Source organism: Homo sapiens, chromosome 4 (assembly GCF_000001405.40).
Source record: "Homo sapiens chromosome 4, GRCh38.p14 Primary Assembly".
NCBI lineage: Eukaryota > Metazoa > Chordata > Mammalia > Primates > Hominidae > Homo > Homo sapiens.
The window spans coordinates 48,065,451-48,086,311 of record NC_000004.12 but is presented as its reverse complement, the minus strand read 5'-3'; the positions used below and the strand labels follow the sequence as shown (position 1 = coordinate 48,086,311).

Below are 20,861 nucleotides of genomic sequence, written 5' to 3'. Positions count from 1 at the left end.
GGGTGAATTATTTCACCTTTCCAAGCCTCAATGTCTTCATCTATAAAATGGGATGAAAGTACCTACCTCACTGGATCAATGTGTGAATTAAATAAGAGAATTTATGTAAGTGATGAGACAGGAGAATTCCCTTGACACCTTTGCAGAATGCCTTGTGAAGAGGGTGGCTCATTTACTCAGCCGCTGTGTGCTCAAATCCCTTACGGGAGGAGGAGCATGCAGGTGAGCCAGGGTGAGTGCTTTTGGGCTCTGGCCCCACGACAGTGTCTAGAGGTGTTACAATGCTCTTTTAGCTTTTCTGTCTGCAGATGGCTAAGTGTTAACCACCTCAGTGGAAAGTCAGGGTGACAGCCTTTTGCATCCTGCCCTCTTGATACCTGGGTCCTTGTATGGCATCCAGGAAGAATCAGGTCACACGGACTTGAAGGATGGTGAATGCAGAGATTTTATTGAGTGATGGAGATGGCTCTCAGCGGGATGCATGGGGAGCTGGAAATGGGATGGAGTGGGAAGATGATCTTCCCTGGGAGTTTGACCATCCTGCAGCCGATCTCGTCTCTGACTGCCCCCAGCAGAACTCCTCTCAATGTTTAGACACTCCTCCTCTTCTCTTCTTCTCTGCTGCACTGCTCTGTCACCTGCCAATGGAGCTTGGGGTTTATATGGGCACAGTACAGGGGTGTGGCAGGCTAGAGCAGTCTTGGAAAGGGCAGCATCTGGGCACAAAAATAAAAATGCCTGTTCCCATTTAGGGCAGCAGGTTTCCAGGCTTGAAGGTGGGGATTTTGCTGGGGAACTGCCCGCTTCTACCTAGTATTTCCCTGCCTCCTGTTGGTATCAGTGACAAGCAAGTGTGTTCTTTTCAGCTCAATAATAGGTGCTTTACAAGTACTCTTTTTTTTTTCCTTTTCCCAGAAGCAGAAATGATGGTTATGTCTTAGTAGTGATACACTACTCATCTCTTGAAAGGGCATCCTCCGGTGGCCAAAAAGAGTTAATGGTTTTTTAAGGATAAAAAAGTATTTGCTTTCAGAGGACATAAGGGTCCAGAGCTTTAAAAGAAGTGGCTCTTTGTAGACCATTGGACACAACTCTTCTGTGATTTCCCGGGACAGCATTTTGACTCAGTTGAACCCATTTCTGTGGCTCATTAACTTTAACAACCTGAGCAGGACCAGGACAGGCCAATAATTTGACCATAGTTCAAATTAACATTCTTTAAATATTTGTTCAACATTTATTTAGAGGAACAGCAATGCTGTGAAGAAGAAAAACTCCAGATGACATTATTTAGATTCTGCTCTGTTTTCCAGAGAAATTTAGTTCTGACCCGCACTTGCAGACTCCAACTAGAAAAACAAACAAACAAGCAAACAACAATCAGAGGTGATTAACTGGACCCATTCTCGATTAACTGGACCCATTCTCGATTAACTGGACCCATTCTCGATTAACTGGACCCATTCTCGATTAACTGGACCCATTCTCTTTCGAAGGCAGAGCAAGTATATCCCTTGGGGCTCTCAACCCATACCCTGAGGGTCCTATCAAAATATCCTTTCCATTCACTTACAATAGAACGAATTCCAAGGGAAGTTGTTACAAACACAATTTCCCAGTGACACCAGCTTCCCAATGATGTTTTTGGGTCCCTAGGTGCCCCAGGCACCTATCTCTATCTGCCTTTGCTTCCTGTAGATATCTGCATCCTACCGTGGTTTTTCTATACCTAAAGGACAAAAATTGTATTCCTGTGTTGGATTAAATAGGCATAATAAAAAAAGAATGAATGGGAGACAAGTTATTCAGGGAGAGTTAAAAACATGTTTGACTGTCTATCAAACAAGAAAGAATTGAAGATGTTTAATGTCATAATGAGAGAATTCTTGAAAGGTACAAGCCTGATGGGGCATTTGAGGTCAGGATCTTTGAGGACAATATTTCCCCTGATTCATTCTGGGAGGCTAACATGGGAGGATCACTTGAGCCTAGGAGTTTGAAACCAACCTAGGTAACATGGCGAAACCCTGTCTCTACAAAAAAAAAACAAAAAAACTAGCCAGGCATGGTAGGGAGCACCTGTAGTCCCAGCTACTCAAGAGGCTGAGGTGGGAGGATCAATTGAGCTCAGCAAGTTGAGGCTAGAGTGAGCCATGATGGCACCACTGCACTCCAGCCTGAGTGACAGAGTGAGACCCTGTCATACACACACACACACAAATCCCTGATTTCTAAAAAAGTGAGGCAGAAAATCTTCCATTCTAACATTCTATTGCAAATATATTTATTTTTAAAATAGTTGACATGCATTGACATACTATCTACCGAGTATATATAGCTTTGCACATATTAGCTCCTTTCTGTGTGTGGTTTAAATATTACCTCTTTCAGGAGGTCTCCTCTGACTACTCTGTTTAAGTTGGCATACCCACTGCCAAATGCTTTCTGTTGTATCGCCTTGTGTTAGTTCCATCAAAGTACTTGTCATACTCTGAAGCTTCATGTGTAGTTGTTTTATTTCTCTCCCACTAGCATGCAAGCTCTCTAATAATATAACCTTTATTTATTTCTCCTGTTTAACCTGGTGAGTGTTAAAAGGATGACTAGCATGTAGTTGGTGCTTAAAAACATTTATGGACTATTGAATGAATTAATGAATCCTCACCACAACTCCAAGTGGTAGCTTCTATTAAGATCCCAACTTTATAGGTAAGAAAGAGAACATTTAGAAGGCTTATTATAAACCAAAATGTTTCTGAGACAAGTCTCAATTAATTTAAGAGTTTACTTGGCCAAGGTTAAGGACATGCCCATGACAGCCTCAGGAGGTCCTGATGATATGTGCCCAAGGTGATCGGCCTACAAAATGTAAAAATGGTTTTACACATTTTAGGAAGACATAAGACATCAATCCATCCATGTAAGGTGTACATTGGTTTGGTCTGGAAAGGCAGGACAACATGAGTGGTGAAACAGGAAAGTTTTCTGGCCCCCACTTGCAGGACATGCAACAGAGGTGTGGCTCTCTGGTCAGCCACTATGACCTTTTACAGGATGGGGAGCATGCAGATGGGCAGGTGCAGGAATCAGGGTGAGTGCTTTTGGGCTCTAGCCCAACAGCAGCATCTAGGGGTGGGTGTCTGCAACTCCCAAAGCCCAAGTGGGTCTGCGTTGTAGTGTGCTCTTTTAGCCTTGTGATCCGCAGATGGCTTAAGGGTTAACCAGCTCAGTGAACCCTCTGCCTTTTTGCAAGGGCAGGGGGCCAGTATGACAGCTTTCTGTATCTCAAGCTCTTGTCCAGTGTCCTGGAAGATCAGGTCACACACAAACTTGAAGGATGCATGTGGGATTTTATTGACTGTTGGAGGTGGCTCTCAGCAGGATGGATGGGAAGCTGGACAGGGGATGATGGGGTAGGAAGATGATCTTCCCCTGGAGTTTGGCCATCCAACAGCCGATTCTCTGACTGGTCCAGCTGAACTCCTCCTGACGTTCCTTCTTTCCTCCCCTTCTCTGCTGTACCATTCTGCTGTTTGTCTATTCATCTCCTCATCTGCTTCTGGACCTGGAGTTTGCGATTTGTATGGGTACAGGATAGGGGGCGTGGTGGGCCAAAAAGCAACTTTTGGGGCACAAAAACAGGAATGGCTGTTCTCACTTAAGGCCATAGGTATCTAGGCTTGAGGGTGAGGACTTTCCTGGGGAAACTGTCATCTTCTACCCAGTATTTCCCTGTCTCCTGTCCATATCAGTGGGGGCTTCCAAGTCATAGGCAGATTCAAAGATTTTCTGATTGACAATTGGTTGAGTTATTATCCAAAGAACTTGAATCAATGGAAAGGAATGTCTTGGTTACTCTAAAGAGTTGTGGAGACCAATACAGATGGTCTGTGTTTATTATGCAGATGAAACTTCCAGGTAGAAGGTTTCAGGGAAAATAGATTGTAAATGTTTCTTAGTAGACTTAAAGAGTCTGTTCTATCAGTCTCAGTGTCTGTGTTGATGTTAATGGTTATGAGGCATGTCCAACTCCCTCTTCCCATCGTGGCCTGAACTAGTTTTACAGGTTAATTTTAGAATGCCCTTGGCTAAGAGGAAGAGTCCATTCAGATGGTTAGGGGCTTAGAATTTTATTTTTGGTTTACATTATGTAATTTGCCTGTAGTCCCACAACAAAACATTGTTAGAGCTTCTAATTGAAATCAAAACTGTGAACTATCTGGGCACAAAAACCCTGATCTTAATGAACATAATTATCAATACACTCTTGGAAAACTAATATATGTCAGAGGGCAAGAGATGGAAAGAGGAGAATTGTTTCAGGATACATTTTTGAGATAAAGTCATCAAGACTTGCTGATAAATTGAATGTGGCAGGTAGTCGGAAGAAACCAGAGGAACAAAGATGATGCTGAGGTTTTGGTGTACATTATTATATCAGGCGAAGGATGGCACCATTTACAAAGATGGGGGAAGACCAAACGGGTTTAGGGGGAAAAATCAAGAATTCTGCTTTGGACATGTTGGATTTGAGAAGCCTGTTATTTATTAGGTGTGATCAAGTGTTGAGGTAAATATATGAGTCTGGGGTTCAGGAAAAAGGTCAGAGTGGAGGGTATTAACTTGAGAGTGATCAAAATGATATGATGATATTTAAAACCCTGAAACTTAATGCGATTACTTAGGGAAAGAGAATGATTAGAAAAGGAGAACTGGAGAAGCCTGCAAAGGGTCTGAAAATATTTAAATAACAAATTTAAATAAATTTAAATGTGTGTTTGCCCTATGATGAATCCCACATACTTCTCTAAACTGAGAAATAATGTGTATTAAGAAGTCCTAGAGTTATAACAAACAAGAATGTAGATTTTCCATTTGCATCTTTCTATGCTTGTGAGAAATATTTGTCATATTTGTTAGACTGAATCACATGCGAGAGTTTGTTTTTGCCTGATTTCTGATAAAGGTTTGCCTTATTTCTGTTAGATTTTTACCAGTGATCTTGATAAGGAAATGCAGTAACATTTCAATTCTCAAATGCTTCCATGTGGGTATCAACTTGGTGGATTTCTTGTGGCAAATTAGTATTTCATCTCAAGACTTGCTTTTCTGCACTTACTCTATATATATGTAAACTGCATCTCTTAACTGAAAGTACACTTTATGAATTCAAAAAGTAAATCAGACAAAATATATATAATATATATATATCTCCAAATTAAGATAATGTTAAGTTCTCTGAATGCCTCTCTTCCACATTAACTGGAGTGTTTTCACAAGCTAATTTTATGGTAATGAGTCAAAAATCGTTCATATACATTGTGTTAAGGTACACAGTCTTCCCAAGTCACTGATTTTATTTTACCTTTATGAATGAAAAGAATGAAAAGAAGCAATAACTTTTCAAGATGCATTTGACACAAGGTACATCTTCTAAAATTATAAGCATTAATTTGAATATTATTTTCCATGATGACTAGTTGGCATAAAAGGCTTTTAGAGATTGAATATAGTATTACACACACACGCACACAAAACCAATAAACTTTTGAAGTCTAGATAACTAAAAAGTTCTGGGTATATTTTAATAGGCAACATTCAAGTCTTTGTGTGTGTGTGTGTGTGTGTGTGTGTGTGTGTGTGTGTGTGATTACCAAATACACTGCAAGTTTTCATGTTGGTAAATGTTTTTTAGTTTCCAACTTTATCTACAATTTTCCTTTTAAAGAACTTCATGCTTTAGAATTTAATTTTTGTTTTCTCTTTTAGTCACTCTTTCCTCCCTCTTGTCTGTCCAGAATTTTTCATCTGGACAGCTGCAGGTAAGAAAGTTGGAATTCAAGGAACAGGAAAGGAAATCTGCTTGACCTAGCAAGGATAAACAGTGATGAAGAAACAAAAGGATTATAAAATGAAGAGGAGAAACATAAAATGCTTACGCGTAGAATATAGTGTATATTCTGTCTCCACTCTGCCTCTGGCATTACCACTTAAACTCTTGACCCCACATTCTCAGTGCATTAAGTGGCAAGGAAACTGAACTACTTCCTCTGTGTTTGGGTTGATTTTTATCTTATCTTGATAATGAGAGTGATAAATAGATGGTAAATACTACCAGTTATGTTCAAACATTTAAAAATGCAAACACAATTCTGCTCACTGGTGTATGTTTTTCTTCACCAGGAAATTATCTCATTCAAAGCTAGTGCAACTTTATGGAGTCTGTATACAGCGGAAGCCCCTTTACATTGTGACAGAGTTCATGGAAAATGGCTGCCTGCTTAACTATCTCAGGGAGAATAAAGGAAAGCTTAGGAAGGAAATGCTACTGAGTGTATGCCAGGATATATGTGAAGGAATGGAATATCTGGAGAGGAATGGCTATATTCATAGGGATTTGGTAAGTATGGTGCAAATTTACTTTTTTTTTTTGTATCATACCTATATTCAGAAGGATGTGACAATTACTTTCAATACTTTGAATAATGTGTCCTTGATTTAATTTTTAAACATTTACCTATTCATGCAATTTGTTGTAAAATGTAACTTTGTTTTCAATTGTCCATTGATGCTGTAGCTGTAAAGGCCGAATGGGTTCACCTTGCCTGCTGCCTAGACAGAGCCGATTTATCAGGACAGAGGAATTGTGATAGAGAAAGAGTAATTCACACAGAACCGGCTGTGCAGGAGACTGGAGTTTTATTATTACTCATATCAGTCTCCCCGAGCATATGGGGACCAGAGTTTTTAAGGACAACTTGGTGGGTGGGGGGAAGCCAGTAAACCAGGAGAGCTGATTGGTTAGGTAGGAGATGAAACCATTGGAAGTTGAAGCTGTCCTCATGCTGAGTCAGTTCCTGGGTGGGGGCCAGAAGATCAGGTGAGCCAGTTAATCGATCTGGGTGGTGCCAGCTGATCCATCAAGTGCAGGGTCTGCAAAATATCTCAAGCACTGATCTTAGGAGCAGTTTAAGGAGAATCAGAATCTTGTAGCCTCCAGCTGTCTGACTCCTAAACCATAATTTCTAATCTTGTGGCTAATTTGTCTGTCCTACAAAGGAAGTCTAGTCCCCAGGCAAGAGGGAGGTTTGTTTTGGGAAAGGGCTGTTATCATCTTCGTTTTAAACTATAAACTATAAATTCCTCCCAAAGTTAGTTTAGCCTACGCCCAGGAATGAACAAGGACAGCTTGGAGGTTAGAAGCAAGATGGAGTCAGTTAGGTTCTCAGTCATAATTTTGCAAAGGAGATTTCATAGCCAAGTAAGGCTTTACTCTAAATATGCCTTGAACTAATTAACCACCTAACCTATCATGTGACTAAAACTGATTTCCTTTCCTTTCCATTCTCCCTTCTTCCTTCTCTTCCTTCTTCTTTCTTTCCTTCCACCTTTCTCTCTTTCAACCCATAATCAAACATGTATCAAGTGCCTAGTATATGCCAAGCATTCTGCTAAGCACTGGAGATACAACAGTGAAGAACAAGTTCCAGTTTTAGTCTCCACTTTATATAAAGAATGTCACCTAGGGGCATAACTGCTCCTGATGTGGAGGTTGTTTGGTCCTAACAGGATTTCAAGAGCACTACTGGCATTATTGAAGAGACTAGGAATGCTAAATTATTTTTTTCTGTAATGCTCAGAACATTCCTATTTAAATAAATGATTGTCTTGCCCCAAACCATATGCTAAGAGCACTGCTTCCCTGCATTGCTACCTCCCCTTGAGTAACACTTTCTGTTCATTCCACATTTATTCGTGATATTCACACTATTCCCTTGATGTCCTTATGTTCTTCCATGTCTCATTTCTAAATCTAAAAATTAACTCAAATGAGAATTGGAGAAGTCTATGAGAAATCCCTGATATCGCCCCTTGGAAGTAATTCTGTGCTTCCATCACACATGATCAAAGTGATCATATTACTCACTGTTCAGGCTGCAGTATTTTGGGGAGAAAAAGGGAGCATAATTACATTGGCCCCAGCACACCTTGGGAAGTATGCTTATCCCACCCATGGCTTGGAACACTCAGGTCATTTGCTATTTACTGCTTCACCCAATAGTTAATTATTTACGTCATTTACACAAATACTAGAGTCTATCTTATGAGACTTAGAGTCTTTGAGATCAAGGCCTAGATATCTGAGATGCCACGCAGTGATTAAGAACACAGGTTGCAAACAGTCATTCTCAAACTTCAGACTTTGGTGCGCATTACAATTACTTGGAAGCTTTTAGAAAAATCGCAATAGCCAGGCCGTACCCCAGACCAATTAAATCAGAATCTCTGTGGCTGAAACCCAGGCATCAATATTTTTTGAAAATTCCCCTGATGAGCCTCATGTGAAGTTGAGGTTGAGAATAACTGCTCTAGAGCCAGGCTAGCTGGGTTGAAATATTGTCTCCGTTTTTTACTAGCTGTGAGACCTTGGGCAAGCTAGTTAACCAGTAAAATGGTATTAATTATAGCACCTTCCTCATATGGGTTTGTTGGGAGAATTACATGAATTAATAAACAGTGTCTAGCATGTAGAGGAGCTCAGCAGTGCTAACTATTGCTATTACAGAGATAGATCATTAAAAAAAAAATCCCTAAAGTCACATTCCCTCGTATCCAGCACCTAGGAGAAATGAGCAGATTTTTGAGTGGATGAATATGGTGTAAACTCCACCTAGCTCACTTTCCTAGTCTCTGCAGGTTTGTCTTTCCGGATAACAATTGGGTGAAAGTTCCGGTCATTTTATTTGCTCTAAATGGCTTCTCACAGGTCCTCCTATTCCTGTTTTTTTTTTCTTGTTTGCTCATTTTCTTTTGTGTTCTATTTTATCTCCCTATATGCTACTTAAAATATGTCCGTGAACAATGAGTCTTTTCCCTGTCAAAAACTTTTCTTGTGGTTTGGTCATTGCTAGGACTTGCTGGCATCTTCTAAACTGGTTACTTGTGATTTATTATTTCAAGTTTCTTGCTTTTGTTGCTTGACTAATTGAACCACAAATTAGCTGAAAAGAGGAAAATTCTATCAAATAGTTTATCTACCTACATGAGGCTAAATAATCAAATCAATGATTTTCTTGATTAAGTTGCTGAAAATGAATTGCTTTGGCATCAGACATATTGTTTCTACATAGCATTATATTCAGTTCATTGTGATAATTTTAATATGAAATTATCACTGTAAATAGTTATCTTTAGTGAGATATGTTTTAAAATATATTTTCTTAATTTTTATTACGTATTAGAGATCCCAAAGATATAAAATGACTATGCCTTATCTGTTATGTATTTTGGGCTTTCCTATAAAGATGTTAAAAAAAATACACTATTTTTATGCCAAGATTCATAGTTGTATCATCTTTCAGATTGAATTAATCCTGAGGGCAGCCTGGGCATGGTGGCTTATGCCTGTAATCCCAGCACTTTGGGAAGCCAAGGTGGGTGGGTCATTTGAGGCCAGGAGTTCAAGACCAGCGTGGGCAGCATGGCAAAACCCCATCTCTATTAAAAATAGAAAAATTAGCTGGGTGTGGTGATGTGTGCCTGTAGTACCAGCTACTTAAGAGGCTAAGGTGGGAGGATGGTTTGACCCCAGGAGGGGAAGGTTGCAGTGAGCCAACATGGTGCCATTGCACTCCAGCCTGGGCAACAGAGCCAGATCCTGTCTCAAAAAAAAAAGTGAAGGCAAACTATTGAATCTATACCATTGATGGATATCACCATAAAAATGACTTGGCGGTACACACAGAGAGGTAGTGTGGGGTCCAAATAACCTAAGGAAAAGGAGAGGAAAAACTCTTGAAATAAAAGCTTGTATTCAAACTTGGATTCTTTTCTTCTTTCCATAGGCGGCAAGGAATTGTTTGGTCAGTTCAACATGCATAGTAAAAATTTCAGACTTTGGAATGACAAGGTACATGCTATGTATATATATATGTATTTTGTTTGTTTGTTTACTCATAAGAGGGAATCTTACATTTGTTTACTGATAAACTGAAGATGCTGCAGGCTGTGTTTTTATCTTCCTAGGTTGTAGGCCTGGTTGTATGGCCTACTGACCCACTTTGAATTTTGGGACATGTACCAATTTTAGCTGTGAGGTAAATGTTTACTGTGGGCTATTCTTCTCATCTTTTAGCAAAACTATGGTATATCTTAAAATTAAAAAAGGAATTTCTTGATACACTGAGAAACGTGAAGAAAAAAGCATTCCTGATATACATATGTTTATGGAAGAAAAAGAAATAAATTTGTTTGCTCAGCTCTGATTTTTCTGTGTCCTCACCAAACATTTCTATTATTAAGTATAGTAGTTGACTTTAAGTCTAAAATTCAAGAGTGTGAAAAATTTAACCATATTTTTCTACAACTCAATATAGTTTAAATTTTGAGCATCCTTTTTTGGGGTGGTGCTAGAAATATAATCACAGGGAATTTGGGGTTTCTCTCTAGCTTCCCTAAGCTTCAAAGTCCAAGTTCTTGTGTCTCGTGGGGCTATAGTACTGGTAGTGAGGTGGCTTACTGGTCCTTTTGTTATCTGTGTGCATGGCATCATTGCAGCCACCATCCTCCGGTCTTGTCTTTGGCTGGCCATTCAAACAGGTAGCTGCTAACACGTACTGAATTTTTTCTGCAAGATTCATTCAGAACTGGCAATTTTTTTTTTCGACAGAGTCTTACTCTGTCACCCAGGCTGGAGTGCAGTGGTGCTCTCTCGGCTCACTGCAGCCTCGACCTCCCAGGCTCAAGCTATCCTCCTGCCTCAGCCCCCCGAGTAGCTGGAACTACAGGCACATGCCACCACGCCCAGCTAATTTTTTATTTTTGGTAGAGGCGGGGTTTCACCATGTTGGCCAGGCTGGTCTTGAACTCCTGACATCAAATATCCACCCACCTCACCTCCAAAAGTGCTGTGATTACAGGTGTGAGCAGTCTCACCTGGCCGGCGTTCTTTATGATTACAAAACTCCATGGTGTGATCTCAGATCTCATTTACCTAGGCACATCCACAGCCATTTGTTCACTGGCATCTTTCTGCCTTTCCAAGGGCTCCACCTGGGGAAAAGAGCACTGGTTCTGTGTCACTTTTAAATCCCACCAACCTAATGTGGGAGTAGGAGCTTCTTTCCTAAAGTACTTGGGCAGCCCTTTAGGGTACAAGATACAGGACCCTAACCCACTGATCTACTAATGTCTAGTACCCCCCTTTTCTTTCCCTTCTATTTCCCCCATTCCTCTTTTTGGGGGAAAAAGATCCCCCCAAAGCTCAGGGGATCTTTTTCTAGATAGTGGTGGTAATAGGGGTGGTGGTAGTGAGATCTCACTCCTGTTCATGGCCCATTTTCCAAGATATTTTGTTAATAACTCAATCTTTCTTCTCTGAAGAGCCTAGACTTGAAAAATTCAAAATCTATAAACAGTGGCTTTTCTCTCTTTGTTTTCTGTTAGTCATTCTTTACCTAAGTAGAATGACCTCTGACTCAATAAAGTGCTGACAGGTGGAGGGAGGTAGTGTATTTAAAAAAAAAGTGAGAGTATAGGGGCAGCATTAATAAATGCTGTGAAAACACTATATTGTATATTTAAGGGGCAACAAGCACAAGTTTATTTTTGTCTCTTCTCCTCAGTGTCTGACATTTGGACATCCCGGTGTACAATTCTCAAAAAAGAGAGAGGGTTCAACTTGTTATTTTTTTAAGGAGACGGTAGTTATTCTTGGTTTCTTTCCATATAGGGCCATTCTAGTGCATTAGAGATTTGTCATATCAGAAGCATTATGTTCATATACTTTTACTTTCCCCCCTTCTGTATGCCCCACAAAAAAACATGCACATGGAAGAAAATTCGACATCCAACTTTGAATCATTCATTTCCATTTTAAGAAGAGTGGTCTTTGTTTTCCCCACCCCTGGGAAGAGTGGTCTTTTATTTCCTTTTTATAATCTTGGTTGTTAGAGCCTTTAGCAGGCTTCTTTGTAGAGTTAAGAATTTACCATAATTAACATAAACAGTGAGCCATGTTTTGAACTGAAGCAGCATTATGATTTTCAGAGGTCCACGTAAAACAAATACAATTGAGACTTTGTTTGGGGAGGAAACATTATCAGGGACACTTTCACACTCTACTAACAAGAAGGCATCCACAACCTTTCTGGGGTAAAATACTTTGTCTTTTAGCAACTTAGAGTTAACTAAAGGGATTTGAAGTAAATAGAGCTTGGAGGTAATTAACACAATATGCTTTGAATCTGATAAACTTAGGTACGTTTTGGATGATGAGTATGTCAGTTCTTTTGGAGCCAAGTTCCCAATCAAGTGGTCCCCTCCTGAAGTTTTTCTTTTCAATAAGTACAGCAGTAAATCTGATGTCTGGTCATTTGGTGAGTGCATCTGATGTTCACTTGCTGGAGCTTGATTTAATAAAATGGGCAATGTGTTATTTTTAACTTTGATTTCCTAATTGATATAGCATTTTTTAAAAAGTCTTCTTGTAATTGTGCTTCCTTCTGTGTGTTCTAACCACATCCCGACTGTCTTTGGCAACTGGTGTCACATACCTTCTTACATAAGTCTGCCTTTTGGATCTTTTCCTTCCTCCATGGGCACTCACTATAAAACCATAACAAAGAGTCTACTGATCTAGAAAACAAACTCAGATAAGTTTTCCACTCCGCAGAGGCTTGAAGGAAAAATGATCTTATGACATTGTTTAGAGTGTAATTAATAAACTTAATTGTCTAAACTGTGAAGCAGGTTGACTATTTTCCAGTTGTTCAGTTGTTAACCTGAACTTAAAACCTGAGTTTAAAAAATGGTGGCATCTCATTTACTTCCTTAACTTTAAAGTTTGTGGAATTTAGACATAGGCTTCCTTGGGATCTATAAATTGATATTCATATTGGATAATGTTCTTCATTGAGAAAGAGACACCATAGACCCACGTCCAATGAAGTTTCGGGGTTGATTTTCAAAAAATGGTAATAAATATGCAAAAATCTATCTATCCTCTTTCACCCCAAACTTCCTGGAGGCTTGTGGGTTCTGGGTCCTCAGAAGGGTGTCAGTTTTATTGTCTACAATAAGGTTAAAACTGGGCACAGTGGCTCAGGCCTACAATTCCAGCACTTTGGGAGGCTGAAGTGGGAGGATTGTTTGAGACCAGGAGTTCAAGACTAGCCTGGGCAACCTAGCAAGACTCTGTCTTTACAAAAAAAAAAAAAAAATTAGCCAGGTGTGGTGGCATATACCTGTAGTCCCAGTTCCTCGGGAGGCTGAGGCAGGAGGATTGCTTGAGCCCAGGAGTTTGAGGTTATAGTAAGCTAGGATCGTGCCACTGTACTCCAGCCTGGATGACAGAGCAAGACCCTGCCTCAAAAAAATTAAAACATAAATTTAAAAACATACAATAAAGTTAAGCTTGTGTCATTAATCTCATTAGCTCTCCATGGACATATGATAGTCTCAGCAGGTGACACTTGAAGCTCTACTGAAGAGCAATTAGGTTGTGAGACCACATCTTAGAGACCAATGAAGAGCAATATAACGACCTCATCGAAGGTTGCCAAACAATTAGAACTCCCTGAATTTTACCTACTTGTCTCCCTCACTGAACAGTGAGCTCCTTAGGCACATGGATTGATCTCACACTTATAAAATCTCCAGGCCCCAGCAGAGGCCTCGCCTCTCATCAATGTCTAGTAAATATTTGTAGAATAAGTGAATAATTAAATGAACTCAAATTAGGAGTTCTTGCAGGAGTTTCACTAATCAATCAATCAATGATTATTGGACATCTACTTATGTACAGAGCCCCTGCTAGATATTCTGGGGCTCTGCCCATCAGTCTAATCTTTTAGCAGAAAGAAGGGGACACATGCCATTTACTGGCTGAAACTCTTGGCTAAGTAGGCAGCAGAGGCTCACATAATCCTGTCAGTTTCTATGGAATGGCAGAAAGGTTCATTGATTTCAGGATGCAGGAACGTGACTGCTGCTTAGAAATGAAAATGCTAGGCCGGGCGTGATGGCTTACGTTTGTAATTCCAGCACTTTGGGAGGCTGAGGTGGTCGAATCACCTGAGGTCAGAGCTCGAGACCAGCCTGGCCAACATGGTGAAACCCCGCCTCTACTAAAAATAGAAAAATTAGTTGGGCGTGGTGGTGGGCACCTATAATCCCAGCAACTCAGGAGGCTGAAGCAGAAGAATTGCTTGAACCCGGGAGACAGAGGTTGCAGTGAGCTGAGATCATGCCACTGCACTCCAGCCCGGTAGACAGAGGTTGCAGTGAGCTGAGATCATGCCACTGCACTCCAGCCCGGGCGACAGAGCGAGACCCTGTCTCAAAAAAAAAAAAAAAGAAAAGAAAATGCTACTGGCATTTTCTCCTGATAGGAGAGGCAATCAAGACCCATGGACAAGGAAAGGCATTGTTTTCACTTAGATTATTTTCAGGTTACAGGCCTCTTTGAAAACTAAAGTGAACATGATTTGCTTCCTTGACAGAACCGCTGTTATTCAGGATGGTTATAGCCCAAAGCCTGGAGCACAAAAATAATGCCTTGTAGTTTGAAATTGTTCTTTCAGTTCCCAAGCAATCATTTCTCTCTAACCCCTTGTTTTCCTGCATTTTTGTTTGCAGGAGTTTTAATGTGGGAAGTTTTTACAGAAGGAAAAATGCCTTTTGAAAATAAGTCAAATTTGCAAGTCGTGGAAGCTATTTCTGAAGGCTTCAGGCTATATCGCCCTCACCTGGCACCAATGTCCATATATGAAGTCATGTACAGCTGCTGGCATGAGGTAAGCATATGTTACTTTCCTATGAAGGTTGGCAGTCCCAGCATCTGAGAGCAGACCTGATTATCACAAACATTACTTCAGAACTCTGTCATGGCAGGAAAAGGCATCTGTGTCTTGGTCATGATCCTGAGAGTCTGAAGTACTATCTCAAACTCACTACAAAGTCATGAATCCATTTTGTTTTGAACAATGGCCTTTTATCTGAGGAATTCAGTGCATTTTCTGAGTCTTATCTGTTTGAGATTGGTTCTTGCAGAAACTCTTGGTGTTACTCAAGCCTCAGTGATTAGATGTTTTATTAGCTTTAAGAATTAATGGGCCGGGCGCAGTGACTCATGCCTGTAATCTCAGCACTTTGGGAGGCCGAGGCGGGTGGATCACCTGAGGTCAGGAGTTTGAGACCAGCCCAGCCAACGTGGTAAAACCCCATCTCTACTAAAAATACAAAAATTAGCCGGGCGTGGTGGTGCATGCCTGTAATCCCAGCTACTGGGGATGCTGAAGCAGGAGAAGAATCTTGAACCTGGGAGGCGGAGCTTGCAGTGAGCCGAGATGGCGCCACTGCACTCCAGCCTGGGCGACAGAGTGAGACTCCATCTCAAAAAAAAAAAAAAAAAAAAAAAGAATTAAATGATGGAGGCTGTGTGTGGTGGCTCACGCCTGTAACCCCAGCACTTTGGGAGGCCGAGGTGGCCAGATCACTTGAGGTCAGGAGTTTGAGACCAGCCTGGCCAACATGGTGAAACCCTGTCTCTACTAAAAATACAAAAATTAGCCAGGCCTGGTGGTGCATGCCTGTAATTCCAGCTACTTGGGAGGCGGAGATAGGAGAATTGCTCGAACCCAGGAGGCAAAGGCTACAGTGAGCTGAGATTGCGCCACTACACTCCAGCCTGGACAACAGAACAAGACTCTGTCTCAAAAAATAAATAAATAAATAAATAAGCAAATAAATAAAAGAATTAATGGTGGAAACTAAGGGTAGAACCAGGCTTGTTAAATTTCCAGGTTGAAAAAGAAAGATGGTGTTTCCATTTACTTCACTCAACTTTGCTTTGTCTTGCTTTTCCAACGCTAATAGTAATGGGTTTCATCTGTCTTCTGGCAGTCAGGACTCCTGCTACAGATTAAACTAGAATAGGAATGGAGGCAGAAAGTGTGTCAGGAACTTCCACTCAGGAAGAAATCTCTCCAGAACTTAGTTTTTCTATTTGTTGAAATGCCAAGCTTAGAAATAAAGCCAGAGGGGCTTCTTTTCCACCTCTGGGCACTGACTCAACACACCCCTGCCCTTCTCAGTGAAATTCCCTTTGATTTTGAGAGCTTTGGTCTCTTTCCAGCTGACAGTTTCAGCTGGAAATTGCAGCTTGATGAGAAGTTTCCTCCTGGCTGAAAAAATAAAGCACTTGATTATCAATCCACAAACACTAGAATATTGAATATTTTAAGAGTGATGTGGTTATTCATATTCCAAAAGCATTACATTTATAGAGAGCCCCAATGTATGAAAATATTTTACATATATTAACTACTTTACAAGGAATCTTGAAAGACATAGAAAAATGCTCAGCAAGCTGTAAGAAAAAAATGTTCAGAAAAATGTTCAGTGAGTAGTAATAAGCAGCCGTTTTAGGAGCATCTTTGCAATAACAATGTAAGTAGCTCAGAAGTATATGTTGTGTATGAAATAATACACACGTGTGTGTGTAATATAATGCTTATTGAGATGTTATATGTAAGTGGAACTGAGACATAGAAGGAGGAAGGGAAGTGATAAGTAGGATGCTGTCAGAAGGACCATGTAAACAACATTTGTCTCAAATTGCAATCAGAACATTGATTAATACAATGGTGTGGTTATGTCGATTTATTTGTTTGAAAAAGTTGATTTGGCCGGGTGTGGTGGCTCATGCTTGTAATCCCAGCACTTTGGGAGGCTGAGGTGGGCGAATCACGAGGCTGGGAGTTCGAGACCAGCCTGGCTAACATGGTGAAACCCCGTCTCTACTAAAAATACAAAAAAATTAGCTGGGCATGGTGGCGGGCACCTGTAATCCCAGCTACTCAGGAGGCTGAGGCAGGAGAATTGTTTGAACCTGGGAGGCAGAGGTTGCAGTGAGCCAAGATCCCACCATTGCACTCCAGCCTGGGTGACTGGGCCAGACTGTCTCAAAAAAAAAAAAAAAAAAAGAAAAGAAAAGATTGATTTATTTTTGAGACAGAGTCTTGCTCTGTTTCCCAGACTACAGTGCAGTGGCACAATCACATCTCACTGCAGCCTTGACCTCCTGGGCTTACGCAATCCGCCCAGCTCAGCCTCCTGAATAGCTGGGACTACAGTGATGTGCCACCATGACCAGCTAATTTTTTAAAATTTTTTCTAGAGATGGGGTCTCACTTTGTTGCCCAGGCCTCAAGCAGTCCTCCTACCTTGGCCTCCCAAAGTGCTGGGATTACAGATGTGAGTCATTATGTCAGGTGCAAAAGTTGATATTGCCTACAGCTTTACCCCATGTGCTTAGGGCATTAGAGTCAAACGTGATTATGCTATCTTTGAGAGACAAATTTCAGGATTCATGCGCAGAAACAGGCTCCTCACAGAGCTCCACAATTTATGCCCAGAGTCTCAATAAGGACCCTCACTTGCACTTGTGCTGTCTTCTGCTCTGTTTATTTTACTGATGCTCTCTGTTTATAAGCCATGAAGAGGGGTGTCTTTCCGCTGACCCTACTGTCAATGACCCCTGTGAGAATGTGGCTACTATGAGTAGCTCTGTTTCCCATGGTTTTAAAAGATGCTGACAGTGCCATCTCTTCTTCCTCTTGGAATCAGAGCTAAACCACACCCCTAAGTGAAGTAGGAAAAAATGCTCCAATCCTTGGCTCCATGACCAGGGATATGGGGTCACTTATGGTGAATATCTTCCTTTAGAGTTGCTGACTCAAAAACTGTGCAAAGATCACAGGCTTTTAAAACTTTTTAAAATGTAAGAATATTCAGCAATCATTTTTCTATGTGTGAGAGGGACTTCCACACTCTTATTTTTCTGTTGACTGAGACTGAAAGCACAACCTGTGCCCCAAGACCTTCAAAGTCCCTCATGAAAACATGCCTTTTGCTTTCTGACTGAAATCCTCCTTTCTATAATGGCTCAGGTGTCATAGATACCCTGAACTGAGCTTGGGAGCCTGGTATGCTAGATGCCCCTTCTCCCAGCCCTTTCTTTACCTCACACATGTCAAGTCATTCAAATATATCTCTAGGGTCGTGGTGTCCTAGAGTACTTTCTGAGATGCTGAAACGTTCTATATCTGTGCTGCCCAATATGGCAGCCACTTCTGGCTATTGGGTTCTTGAAAAGTGGCTAGCACGACTGAGTAACTGAATTTAAACATTTATATAATCTTAAGGAATTTAAATTTAAATAGCCACATGTGGCTAGTGTTTGCAGGTCTAGCCGTTTTATTTTTGCAACATTCTCTAACATTTTCATATTCACGCCTCACTCAACTGCCAATCATGCTGTGCTATGTCAGTCAGTCAAGATATCTTTCTCTTCCTTTTTGTGAAGAGCCAGCCTGGATTCAGGTCTCTGCCAGCAAGTTCCAGAGCTGGTCTCTGAGTGATCCTTAGCCTATTTATGCCGCAGGTGGCAATTTTTTGAATTTTTGCATGAGTGAAAAATCAGACCTTGGCGATGACCTCGAGCAGTGGGATATAAGTGACTCCCACATGCTTAGCGTTCCAAAAATGGAACCCTTGGCATAAGTTGGTTAAGCTGAGCTAACCACCCCCACTTCCCTTTTCCAGAAACCTGAAGGCCGCCCTACATTTGCCGAGCTGCTGCGGGCTGTCACAGAGATTGCGGAAACCTGGTGACCGGAAACAGAATGCCAACCCAAAGAGTCATCTTGCAAAACTGTCATTTATTGTGAATATCTTCACCATATGGGGTCACTTATGGTGAATATCTTTCTTCAGAGTTGCTGACTCTTGAAAACAGTGCAAAGATCACAGTTTTTAAAAGTTTTAAAAATTTAAGAATATTCACACAATCGTTTTTCTATGTGTGAGAGGGATTTGCACACTCTTATTTTTCTGTAAAATATTTCACATCCCAAATGTGAAGAAGTGAAAAAGACTTCGCAGCAGTCTTCATTGTGGTGCTCTTCATGATCATAGCCCCAGGAACCCTTGAGGTTCTTCTTCACAAGGCTGAGAGTGCTTCCTTCTTGAAGACGAGTGACATTCATCACTTCAGTGATCCATGCATAGAATATGAAAATAAATTCTTCCAACTCATGGGATAAAGGGGACTCCCTTGAAGAATTTCATGTTTTTGGGCTGTATAGCTCTTTACAGAAAATGCACCTTTATAAATCACATGAATGTTAGTATTCTGGAAATGTCTTTTGTTAATATAATCTTCCCATGTTATTTAACAAATTGTTTTTGCACATATCTGATTATATTGAAAGCAGTTTTTTGCATTCGAGTTTTAAACACTGTTATAAAATGTAGCCAAAGCTCACCTTTGAACAGATCCCGGTGACATTCTATTTCCAGGAAAATCCGGAACCTGATTTTAGTTCTGTGATTTTACACTTTTTACATGTGAGATTGGACAGTTTCAGAGGCCTTATTTTGTCATACTAAGTGTCTCCTGTAATTTTCAGGAAGATGATTTGTTCTTTCCAGAAGAGGAGACAAAAGCAAGATAGCCAAATGTGACATCAAGCTCCATTGTTTCGGAAATCCAGGATTTTGAATTCGAGATGAAACAACCAGCAATCACAGTTAAATCTTAACTTTGCCTGCACTCTTTGTAGGAATGATCAGAAATTTATCTTTATCATTCTGAGTGCTTCAGGAGTACAATAGGAAGAAAGATACTGGAGAAAGCACTAATGTAATCACCATGAAGTCTGACAACAGGAGCCCATTATTTGCGTACTGTCCCACCCTGTATCATGGTTCTCTGGGAACAAGCTTTATGATTCTCATTAGAGTTTATTTGTTGATTGTCAGTAGTTGCGACTTTTAAATTATATTTCCCCCACTCAAAGAATGGTATCTTTATATATCAATGACATTCAATAAATGTGTATTATTTCTAATGAGAATCAGTTACAAGAGGAGACTTGATAGTTCAAGTAGTGGTCTCAGAAATGTTTGGGCTGAATGTGGTGGCTCATGCCTATAATCCCAGCACTTTGGGAGGCCAAGGTGGGAAGATAACTTGAGCCCAGTTTGAGACCAGCCTGGGCAACAAAGTGAGATCCTATCTCTATTACAAGAAAAAAGAAAAAAGAAAAAAAAAGCTAGGTGTAGTGGTGCATGCATGCACGTAGTCCCAGCTACTTGGGAGGCTGAGACAGGAGCCCAGGAGATCAAGGCTGCAGTGAGCCATGATTGTGCCACTGCACTCCAGCCTGGGTGATAGAGCGAGACCCTGTCTCAAAAACAGAAACAAGTTTGTATGAGATGCTAGGCTGTTTCTGAGACTATCACACCCCCTTTCCTATGACTCCTGTTACGGTGAGGAAAGACAGAAGGCTGTTATTACTGAGACCTCAATTCACATAACATGAATTTACATAAGATAGTCTAGCTCAAGAAGACATGAGACTACTAAACAGCAAAAGCAGATGGAAGGGAGGTTAATATTATGACATAGGAAATAATGTAGTATCAATATATGGCTGCAGTAAGTTGCCCTTTCCAGGTTTTACTCAGCTTGGAAGTCCCCATTTCTCTCAAAAAGAAAGAAAGAAAAAACCCAGCAAAGCCAAACACTGAAAAGCTAGGACTGAGTATGGAGCATCTGCCATCACTATAGTTGTACCAGGTACAGAGCAAAGAGTGACACCCAGAGGCAAATCATTCTAAGAGGGCAACAACTATGACAGTGCCTGGCACTTCTAAGAGGGTGCAGCACTTCTAAGGTGCTAGGCAAGCTCTATTCCTTTTGTTTTAACACCTCGGGAAAATTTGAGGTACCAAATTAGGTACAAGAATAACTGGGGGTATGTCCTAGGTAACTAAGAGTCCAGATAATGTGTGAA

At 40.7% G+C, this 20,861-nt stretch overlaps 1 protein-coding gene across 7 annotated transcripts in view; it reads left to right on the top strand.

The window, feature by feature from the left end:
- TXK (TXK tyrosine kinase) overlaps positions 1–19,919 on the top strand; it is a 67,858-nt gene extending 47,939 nt beyond the window's left edge. For 6 of the 7 annotated variants that reach the window (XM_017008581.3, NM_003328.3, XM_011513747.4 and 3 more), the window contains 5 exons: positions 6,184–6,400; positions 9,846–9,910; positions 12,259–12,377; positions 14,638–14,795; positions 18,607–19,919. In XM_017008581.3, coding sequence (XP_016864070.1) covers positions 6,184–6,400; positions 9,846–9,910; positions 12,259–12,377; positions 14,638–14,795; positions 18,607–18,675 — 628 coding nt within the window. In that variant the 3' untranslated portion in view covers positions 18,676–19,919. Of the gene's footprint in view, positions 1–6,183; positions 6,401–9,845; positions 9,911–12,258; positions 12,378–14,637; positions 14,796–18,606 lie in introns of those variants that run through there. The other variant, XM_047416122.1, reaches the window with a different exon arrangement.
- The last annotated feature ends 942 nt before the right edge of the window (positions 19,920–20,861 follow it).